General features: G+C 39.0%; 1 annotated feature.

Moving 5' to 3' along the window:
• Positions 10,441 to 11,424: an enhancer, noted in NCBI's record as "OCT4-NANOG-H3K27ac hESC enhancer chr17:51532575-51533558 (GRCh37/hg19 assembly coordinates)". NCBI's record gives its function as "activates a minimal SCP1, AML or CMV promoter by ChIP-STARR-seq in naive H9 embryonic stem cells {active_cell/tissue: H9 hESC(naive)}" and the evidence as "EXISTENCE:reporter gene assay evidence [ECO:0000049][PMID:30033119]".

Here is an 11,765-nt window from a genome sequence, read left to right as displayed (position 1 = left end):
ACCAGTTCCCTACAAGGCTTCTCATCATCCCCTTTTTATTCAAATCCCTACTCACAGCCCCTTGAGGGTCATCTTGGCAAGTGCATTTTTAACTCCTCTGAACAATCTTCCCATGACAACAGCAGGAAGATCTTGTACATTCTGCTATCTGTAGATTCCGCTAAGCTCTGCCTTGCTATTAGCTATGGCCATTTCACCAGGCAGCATGGACCCTACTAGTAGGTGTTTTAACTCCCCACTGAGCACCCTTGACTTTGCTAGGTATTCACAGAATACTTTTTCTTTGGGGACTGCATTAGTTTCCCAGGCTGCCATAATAAAGCCCTATGTACTGGGTGCCCTAATAAAACAGAAACATATTCTCTTATAGTTCTGGAGACTAGAAATCTGAAGTGCGAGTGTTGGCAGGATTGTGCGCTCTCTGAGTAGTCCGGGAAGAATCATTCCACATGTCTTCCTAGCTTTTCACCGTTGCTGGCAATCTTAGGCATCCCTTGCTTGTAGAAGGACACATTACTGCAATCTTCACCTTCATTGCCACTGTTTATTGCCACTTCGCTGCCACTTTATATGCCACTTCACCTTCCTTCCTCTGTTTATGCATCTGTATCCAAATCTCCTTTTTTTCTTTTCTTTTTTTTTTGATGGAGTCTCGCTCTGTCACCCAGGCTGGAGTGCAGTGGCACAATCTCAACTTACTGCAAGCCAAATCTCCTTCTTTTAAAGACATCAGTCATTGAATTAACTTGACTATATCAGCAACACCGTACTTAAAAAAATTACATTCCAATTACTGATGCTTAGTAGTTATAGTAATCTTTTTTAGGGACAAAATTCAACCCAATGCAGGAACCAGGAAGTCTTAAATAAGTATTTCTTGAGGGCTTGCTATGTGTCTGGCACTCTTAGCTCTCCAAATGGGCATTGTCACTGCCACTCCTATTCCTGTCTACCTCTCCCTACCAAGCACCAGAGCCCCTCTGCCATCTTCTTGGGGAGCAGCTAGACCACTAATACAGGGGTGCCTTTCAGATTCCAGGGGTACGTGGGGTCAACGGGAAACAGACAAAACTATGTCTCTCTCTCTTTTGTAATCGGTTCAGTAAAGAAAGTACAGAAGCAGTGCTGTTTGTGCCCAAGAATCTTACAGAATCTTTCATAACCTAGCTACTTCCTTTTTTACCTCTAGTCTTCATTCACCTGAGGGCATAAATGTGATTGAATGGGTGGGACCTGGGGCAAGGACAAAGTTAAATGAAACACTTAGGATATATTCAGGGATGAAAACAAATAAAAAGGCAGCAACAAAAAAGCATTCTCTGACCTTGTGGTTTTAAAATTGGCTTGAACTTGTTTTCCCAGTGTCTTCTCTTGGGAAAGAGCATCAGGCTCTCTTTTCAATGGACTCTTCTTGCTCTGTGCCTGTGTTCCGTTTGTACTCACTATTATGTAATTAGTAACATTCAGCCTTCTGGACAATCAGCTTCACCTCAGACTATCAGCACTATCTCTCCTGTGTGACGTGCCCGTGGATTTCAATATTGAGCAAATGCCTAATACCATATTTTGAAACTGCAAGTCCCAATGAAGACAGCACTCAATTTTAACATAACAGCTTCTAAAAAAGGACTGAAAATGATAATGATTATTGAGAGCTAACTGCTTGCTAGACGCTATAGTGAGTTATATATATACATTATCTGATTAGATCCTCATGAAAATATATATATACTTTATATATATATACTTTATATATATATATATATATATATAGCGTTGTTATGTCCAATGCACAGCTTAGCAAACTGATGTAACTTCCATGAAAAACTGATAAAACTTACATGAAAAAAGGCTTGATAGGCCGGGCACTCACGCCTGTAATCCCAGCACTTTGGGAGGCCAAGGCAGGTGGATCATGAGGTCAGGAAATTGAGACCATTCTGGCTAACACGGTGAAAACCCATCTCTACTAAAAATACAAAAAATTAGCCAGGCGTGGTGGCAAGTGCCTGTAGTCCCAGCTACTTGGCAGGCTGAGGCAGGAGAATCACTTGAACCTGGGAGGCGGAAGTTGCAGTGAGCCGAGACCATGCCACTGTACTCCAGCCTGGGCGACAGAGTGAGACTCCATCACAAAAAAAAAAAAAAAAAAAAAAAAAAAAAGTTAGATAAATGTCCAAGGTCACATAGCTAGAATACTGACCTATCGTCTTGGTTCTTAACAAGTTTTGCATTTTGCTTTCATCATTATCATTCATGTAACACAGTCTATAGGGTGCTTAAAACTATATGCTGTAAATACCTTGTATGATATTTATTTTTAAAGTTGATTAACAACTACTAAATAAAATATACCTTTGATTCCTTAAGATGCTATATGTGGAAATGAACCAGATGTGGAAACCTGTGCTGGCAAAGAGCAAGAGTTCCATATTCATGTTTACTGCTGAATTTAAAGGTGCATCATCCTAGAATGTGTCACTTTCATAATCAGCAGTTGAATTGTTTTACACACAAATTGAATCTCCCAATGTAATGTATACATTGTTATCCTCACAACTAAGGTTCATGCTCTGTTGACTTCTCCATCTGGGGATGTATGCAAATAGTTTTTATATGCACACATAAATTTTCCAAACTCAGATCCAATTTATTGGTATTAGCATGTGTTTTCATCCTTCAATATGCTGAAAGAGACAATTTATGCTGAATAGTTTGTAAAAAGCAAATTAGATGGAGATTCAGAGCTAGAAATGCCTCTGTGGGTTAATGTATTTCCTCATTCTGCCTCCTCTTTTTCTCTTTTTAATTTTTTGAAAAGGGTCAAATGAGGCTAAAGCATAACACTGGGCAGCTTTATTTGTTTGACATAATTACTAATTTGTTAGCAATCTGTTTTATTTATGATGTACTTTTTTCTTTATTTAATTTTTTTTTTTTTTACCATTTTGAAGTAACATCATTTGTCTTAGGCAGCATCTAAAAGAAAGCGCATGCCCTCAGTTTCCAAATTGATGATCCTCCCCACCAGTTAAGGAGCTCTGCCTTCAGCAAATACATCATGTGACAATGATTCATAGCAGTTCTTTTGAAGAGCTTTTATTATAATGCATTCATTCAACACTCAACTACACCTTAAGCACTGGGCATTGATTATGTGTCAGGCACTCTGGTAAATATTAGGTGATATTTAGGTGATTCAAAATCATTCAGACCAGTAGACTTTCCAGTTCTTACTGTGTAACTGAGACTCGAACTCTGTGAGAATAGAGATATTCCTAAGTTTGAGATTAATTATAGGGCAAGAGATACATGTTTGCCTAAAATAATATGAGTATTTGACAGTGGACAAGCCATTCCCTTTGGTCCCTTGGGACCCATTTTCTTCATTTGTAAAATAAGATTGAGACATGATCTCTGAAGCTGCTTCTAAATCAGGCATTGTATGATTCAAATGAATCAATAGTTCACACAATTTCACCAATCTGCTTATGTTTTTAACTTCCTATCTAAAGTTTTTTTTAATTAACTAAACTCAGTCAAATTATTGGTTATTCTGAAAATTTTAGTTACTACCAATGCCCACAAAATGGGAAACTAGCAGTTACCAATAATAGTACATTCCAGAGTTGGTTAGTCAACAATTCAGTCTTTTGCCCTCACCCCTTGTTCTGTAATTTTATGAGAAATAAAATGTAATAAGAAATGTTTATAATAAAATAACAAAATACTTTTGTTTTTTGGCTGTACTAATATCTCTGTCTGGCCCTCAAGTTTGTGTAGTGGTTTTTAATTTTTTTTCTGCATTTCTCTAGAAGTTCTTGGCATCCTTTCAGGTTCTGCCTTTGGGTGAAAAGAGTAGAAGGAAAAACACAAGCTGTCAGATCACAGGGTGAATGAGATCTTCCCACCACATTCAAGGGAGATCTGGAATACAGGGTTATATGAGTAATAAATACAATACTGACAGATAATAAAGATTAATTCCATGACTACTATCTGGGGATCTTTAGGAAAAGACCATTTCACATTCCAGGATGAGAAAATTGACAGGAAATATCTTGGGAAAAAATGTTCCTGTTGAGCTCATTTGTACACTTACTGATTTTGGCTGTCTGAGTTGATCGGAAGTCAGGGAAGCACCATTTATGCAACAGTGACTTCTAGGAAAATGACTCACAATGAAAATAAATGAAGGTCTGTGTTCAGGCCAAGAGAAACATTTGCTCAGTTGGAAAGTCAGTCAGGTAGAATATATACCTGCTCACCTCGGAATTCTGTCCTCTAATCATCATATATTTAATTGTATGATAACAGTGCGTATATTGATGCATACCCAGCTTTGGTACAACTTTATCACTTTTAAACCTTCCCTTAACTTAGAAAACTCTTCCTGCTTTTGATGAGTACTCTTTTCTTAATTTTATGAAACGTTACTGTTTTGAATTTCTATTTTATTTCATGTTGTTGTGTTTTGTTCCCATTTTGTTTTGAAGACAGGGTCATGCTCTGTTGCCCAGGCTGTAATGCAGTGGCGTGATCTCAGCTCACAGCAGCCTCAACCTCCCAGGCTCAAGTTATCCTGCCATCTCAGCTTCCCAAGTAGCTGGAACTACAGGCATGCACCACCATGCCTGGATAAATTTCTTTTATTTTTCATAGAGACAGGGTCTCACTATATTGCCTAGGCTGGTCTCAAACTCCTGGCCTCAACTGAACCTCTCACCTCATCCTGCCAAAGTGCTGTGATTAAAGGTGTGAGCCACTGTACCAGGCCTATTTGTACTGTTTTGAACTTGCCCTTCCTTTGCCTTCATCCATGAACAAAATATAATTGTAAAGTATATATAGACAGGCATTCTCTCTAAGAAAGGTAAATGATAGTCATGGAAGATGTTTTAAGGGATGCAAAGGGAAAGATTACTCCTTTGAACCATTATTTTGGCTTTTCCTTCTGGCCAAAAGAAAATGCTGCCACATTTTTCTATCAATCCAGATGTTTTAGAGCTGCCATTAGTTATTGATGAGAGTGCTCTCTCTCTATTTGCATGTGTGTTTGTGTGTGTGTATGTGTCTTGACCTAAGAAACTCTATATCTATAAGCAACATTTTTTTCATTCCTATAAATGGTTGAATACAAATCATTCCTCTTAAGAATTAAAATAAAGAAAGAAAGAAAGAAAGAATAACACGCTGCCCGTAGTATTTGACGATACTTAAAATCATTCCCTCTCCAAACCACTTTTACTTGGCTTCATCCTCCACCACTTCACTGAAGCTTTCTTTTAAAAGGTGCAAAAGTCTCTTTTCTATCCTCAGCCTGCTACGCTTCTTTGCCACTTTTGAAACTGATGATGACTTTCTTCTTCTTTAAGCACTCTTCACTCAAGTTCTGGGAAGTTTGTCCCTTCCATGCTTCCTCTTATCTGTCAGGAAGCTTCTTATTCCCTTTGCTTTCCCTTTCTATAACCAACACTGTTTAACCAATTTTTGTGGCAGATGGAGCATTGTCAAGAAAATTGCATGGCCATAACGTCTACTCAAGAATTTCAGAAGGATAAGTCGATATTTATATAAGCAAAGTTTTTAATGGTAGTGAATAAACAACTCTGAACTGTTCACCAAAATATATTTACATTTCATGGTAAAAATCTAATTGTCTTCTACAGTGTATTCTAAAGCTTCAGAAGAATTGAAGATTCCTCATGACTCTGCCCCCAGACCTGTTTTCTTCTCACTCTATAGTATCTCCTCAATTAACATCATGGGTTCAACTAGAAGTTTTTTCTTAACTTTAAATGTTCTATATTTCATGGGCTAATTTTAGGTATTTTTATTTTTATCTATTTACTTATATATGTATGTATTTATTTATTTCTGAGACAGGGTCTCACTCTATCACCCAGGCTGGAATGCAGTGGCATGATCATGGCTCACCACAGCCTCCACCTCCTGGGCTCAAGTGATCCTCCCATGTCCACCTTCCAAGCAACTAAGACTAAAAGTGCGTGCCACCATGCCTAGCTAATATTGTCTTGTTTGTAGTGACTTAGTCTCACTGTGTTGCCCAGGCTGGTCCTCAACTCCTAGGCTCAAACAATCCTCTTTCCTCGGCCTCCTAAAGTGCTGAGGCTACAGGTGTGAGAAACTGTGCCCAGCTTCAGGTGCTCATTTTAAAATACTAGTTGACTTTCCTCTAATATCTGGACAAGGATGTCCACTTTCACCAGTTATTCAACATAGTATTAGAAGTCTCAGTTAATGCAATCATACAAGAGAAAGCAATAAAGGACATCCAAATTGGAAAGGAAGAAGTCAAATTATCCTTGTTTGCAGATGATATAATCTTATATTTGGAAAAACCTAAAGACTCCACCATGAAATTATTATAAATGATAAACACATTCAGGAAAGTCACAGTATACAAAATCAACATGCAAAAATCAGTGGCATTCCTATATGCCAACACTGAACAATCTGAAAAAGAAATAAAAAATAGTAATCCTATTTACAGTAGCTACAAGTAAAATTAGATACCCAAGGATTAACTTAACTAAGGAAGTGAAAGCTCTCTACGATGAAAACTACAAAACATTAATGAAAGAAATTAAAGAGGACACAAAAAGTGGAATAATATTCCATGTTAATGAATTGGAAGAATCAATATTGTTAAGATGTCCATACTACCCAATGCAATCTACAAGTCCAATGCATGTCTATCAAATACCAGTAATATTCTTCAGAAAAATAGAGAAAAAAATCCCTTAAAATTTATATGGAACTGCAAAAGACTCAGAATACCCAAAGCTATCCTGAGTCAAAACAACAAAACTGAAAGAATCACATTACCTGACTTCAAATTATACTGCGGAGCTATAGTAACCAAAACAGCATGGTCCTGGCATAAAAACAGACACATAGCCCAATGGAATGGAATAGAGAACCTAAAAACAAATCCATACACCTACAGTGACTTTGTTTTTGACCAAGATACCAAGAACATACTTTGGGAAAAACACAGTCTCTTCAATAAATGGTGCCAAGAAAACTGGATATCTATATGCAACAGAATGAAGCTAGACCCCTATCTCTTGCCATACACACACACACACAAAAAAAAAAATCAAAATGGATTAAAGACTTAACTCTAAGACCTCAGACTATAAAACTACTACAAGAAAATGTTGGGGAAACTTTCCAGCACATTGATCTGGGCAAAAATTTCTTAAGCAATACCTCACAGGCAACCAAAGCAAAAATTTACAAATGTGATCACATCAAGTTAAAAAATTTGTACAACAAAGAAAACAATCAACAAAATGAAGAGACAACTTACAGAATGGGAGAAAATATTTTCAAACCACCCATCTGTATTAGTTCATTTTCACATTGGTATGAAGAAATACCTAAGACTGAGTAATTTACAAAGGAAAGAGGTTTAATTGATTCACAGTTTTGCAGGGCTGGGGAGGCCTCAGAAAACTTACAATCATGGTAGAAGGGGAAGCAAACACATCCTTCTTTATGTGGCAGCAGTACAGAGAAAAATGAGAGAAGTGCAGAGAAAAGGGAGTAAAAAGCTCCTCACAAAACCATCAGATATCATAAGAACTCACTCACTATTATGAAAACAGCATAAGGAACTGCCCTCATGATTCAATCACCTCCCACAAGGTCTCTCCCCCAACATGTGGGGATTGCAATTTGGATTACAATTCAAGATGAGATTTTAATGAGGACAAAGAGCCAGACTATATTATTTCACCCCGGCCCCTACCAGATCTCATGCCCTCACATTTGGAAACACAATCATGTCCTTTTAACAGTTCCCCAAAGTCTTAACTCATTCCAGCATTAACCCAAAAATCCAAGTTCAAAGTCTCATGTAAGGCAAAGCAAGTCTCTTCTGCCTATGAGCCTGTAAAATAAAAAGCAAGTCAGTTACTTCCTAGATACAATAGGGATACAGGCATTAGGTAAATACACCCAATCCAGATGGAAGAAACTGGCCAAAACAAAGGGGTAATAGGCCCTGTGTAAGTCCAAAATCCAATAGGGTAGTCATTAAACCTTAAAGTTGCAAAATGATCTCACATCCAGGTCACACTGATGCAAGAGGTGGACCCTGATGGTCTTGGGCAGCTCCAGCCCAGCTCTCATGTATGGCTTTGAGTGTCTGTGGCTTTTCCACCTGGAAACTGTGCAGACTGTCAGTGGATCTACTGCTCTGGGGTCTGGAGGACTGTGGTCCTCTTTTCACAGCTCCACTAGGCAGTGCCCCAGGGGGGACCCTATGTGGGGGCTCTGAACCCACATTTTCCTTCTGCACTGCCCTAGTGGAGGTTCTCCATGAGGGCTCTGCCCCTGCAGCTGACTTCTGCCTGGACATCCAGGCATTTCCATACATCCTCTAAAATCTAGACGGAGGTTCCCAAACCTCAATTCTTATCTTCTGTGCACACGTAAGACCAATGCCACATGGAAGCTGTCAAGGCTAGGGGCTTGTAGCTTCTGAAACAACATCCTGAGCTACACCTTGGCCCCTTTTAGTAATGGCTAGAGCAGCTGAGACCAGTCCCAAGGCTGCACACAGCAGGGGGTCCCTGGACACTGCCCAGGAAACTATTTTTCTCTCCTAGGCGTCTGGGCCTGTGATGGGAGAGAATGCTGTGGAGGTCTTTGACATGCCCTGGAGACATTTCCCCATTGTCTTGGTGATTAACATTTGGCTCCTTGTTAAGTATGTGAATTTCTGCAGCTGGCTTGAATTTCTCCCCAGAAAATGAGTTTTTCTTTTCTGTGGCATTATCAGGCTTCACATTTTCTAAGATTTTATGCTTTGCATCCTCGAAAAACTTTGCTGCTTAGAAATTTCTTCTACCAGATATCCCAAAGCATCTCCCTCAAGTTCAAAGTTCCACAGATCTCTAAGGCAGGGGCAAAAAGCCACCAGTCTCTTTGCTAAAGTGAGTCACCTTTGCTCCAGGTCTCAAAAAACTCCTCATCTCCATCTGAGGCCACGTTGGCCTAGATTTCATTGTCCATATCGCTATGAGGATTTTGGTCAAAGCCATTCAATAAGTCTCTAGGAAGTTCCAGACTTTCCCACATTTTCCTGTCTCCTGAGCCCTCCAAGTGTCTAGGAAGTTCCAAAATTTCCCACATTTTCTTGTCTTTTTCTAAGTCCTCTAAACTGTTCCAAAGTTGCTTCCACATTTTGGGGTATCCTTATATCAGCACCCCACTCTACCAGTACCAATTTACTGTATTAGCCCATTCTTATGCTGCTATGAAGAAATATCCAAGACTAGGTAATTAACAAAGGAAAGAGGTTTAATTGACTCACAGTTCTGCAGAACAGAGAGGCCTCAGAAAACTTACAATCATCATGGAAGGGGAAGCAAACACGTCCTTCTTCACATGGAAGTAAGAAGGAGAAGAATGAAAGAAGTGCAGAGCAAAGTGGGGAAAAACCCCTCACAAAACCATTAGATCTCATGAGAACTCACTCACTATCACAAGAACAGCACAGGTGAACTGCCTCCATGATTCAGTCACCTCCCACAAGGTCCCTCCCCCAACATGTGGGGATTACAATTCGGATTACAATTCAAGAAGAGATTTGAGTAGGGACACAGAGCCAGAAAAATGGACAAATGGGATTATATCAAGTTAAAAAACTTCTGCACAGCAAAGGAAACAATTAACAAAAGGAAGAGACAACCGACAGAATGGGAAAAATATTTTCAAACTACTACTATCTGACAAGGAATTAAGAACCAGAATATATAAGGAGCTCAAACTCTACAGGAAAATTTTTAAAGGTCTGATTAAAAGGCAGGCAAAAGTGCCAGCCTTCATGGTTTATACCTATATTCTCTGCACTTTGGGAGGCTGAAACAGGCAGATCACTTGAGGTCAAAAGTTTGAGGCCGAGGCAGGCAGATCACTTGAGGTCAAAAGTTTGAGGCCGAGGCAGGCAGATCACTTGAGGTCAAAAGTTTGAGACCAGCCTGGCCAACATGGTGAAACCCTGTCTCTACTGAAGATACAAAAGTTAGCTGGACATGGTGGTGCATATCTGCAATCTCAGCTACTCAGGAGGCTGAGGCACAAGAATCTCTTGAACCCAGGAGGCGGAGGTTGCAGTGAGCTGAGATCACACTACTGCACTCCATCCTGGGTTATAGAGTGAGAGTGAGATTCTGTCTCAAGAAAAAAAAAATAAAGTAGGTGATATATTTGAGTAGACCTTTCTCAAAAGAAAAAAAATACAAGTGGCAAACAGGCATATGAAAAGGTGCTCAACATAATTGATTGTCACAGAAATGCAAATCAAGACCACGGTGAGATATTATCTTACTCCAGTTAAAATGGCTTTTATTCAAAAGACAGGCAATAACAAATGTGGAAAGGGAACCTATGTATGCTATTGATGGGAATGTAAATGAGTACAACCACTATGAAGAACAAGTTGAAGGTTTCTCAAAACACTAAAAATTGAGCCTCTGTATTGTCAGGCCTCTGAGCCCAAGCCAAGCCATCACATCCCCTGTGACTTGCACGTATATGCCCAGATGGCCTGAAGTAACTGAAGAATCACAAAAGAAGTGAATATGCCCTGCCCCACCTTAACTGATGACATTCCACCACAAAAGAAGTGTAAATGGCCGGTCCTTGCCTTAAGTGATGACATTACCTTGTGAAAGTCCTTTTCCTGGCTCATCCTGGCTCAAAAATCACCCCCACTGAGCACCTTGCAACCCCCACTCCTGCCTGCCAGAGAACAAATCCCCTTTGACTGTAATTTTCCTTTACCTACCCAAATACTATAAAATGGCCCCACCCTTATCTCCCTTCACTGACTCTCTTTTCGGACTCAGCCCACCTGCACCCAGGTGAAATAAACAGCTTTATTGCTCACACAAAGCCTGTTTGGTGGTCTCTTCACACGGACGCGCATGAAACGTATGATTCAGCAATCCTAATGCAGGGTATATGCCCCAAAGAAAGGAAGTCATTATATTGAAGAGATCTGCACTGCTATGTTTATTGCAGCACTATTCACAATAGCCAAGATTTGGAAGCAATCTAAGTGTCCATCAACAGATGACTGGTTAAAGAAAATGTGGTACCTTCAGCACCAGAAGACAGAGTGAGAAATAAATAAAAAATGTTTAAAATGAAACTGTGCTACTTATACACAATGAAGTACTATTTAGGCATAATAATAATAATAATAATGAGATCCTATCATTTACAACAATATAGATGGAACTGGAGGGCATTATGTTAAGTGCAGTAAGTCAGGCACTGAAAGATAAACTTACACTTTCACTTATTTGTCAGAGCTAAAAATTAAAACAATTGTACTCATGGAGATAGAGAGTAGAAGGATAGTCATCAGAGACTGGGAAGAGTAGTGGGGAAGTAGAGGGGAGGTGTAAATGGTTAATGGGTACAAAGGAAAAAGAAATAATAAGTAATACTTAGTAGTTGATAGCTCAACAGGGTGATTGTAGTCAATAATTATTTAATTGCACATTTAAAAATAACCAAAAGAGTATAATTAGATGATGTGTAATACAAATGATAAATGCTTGATGGAATGGATATCCAATTTTCCATGATGTGATTATTACACATTATGTGCCTATACCAAAATATCTCATGTACCTCATAAATATTTGTACCTATTACATATCCACAAAAATTAAAAATAAAAATTGAACTAGAATAAAATAAAATACTTGCTGTGTTACATT

The sequence above is a fragment of the Homo sapiens genome, chromosome 17 (assembly GCF_000001405.40).
Source record: "Homo sapiens chromosome 17, GRCh38.p14 Primary Assembly".
In the NCBI taxonomy this organism is placed as follows: Eukaryota; Metazoa; Chordata; class Mammalia; order Primates; family Hominidae; genus Homo; species Homo sapiens.
Note: the sequence above shows the minus strand (reverse complement) of the source record. Positions and strands in the feature narration are given on the sequence as shown.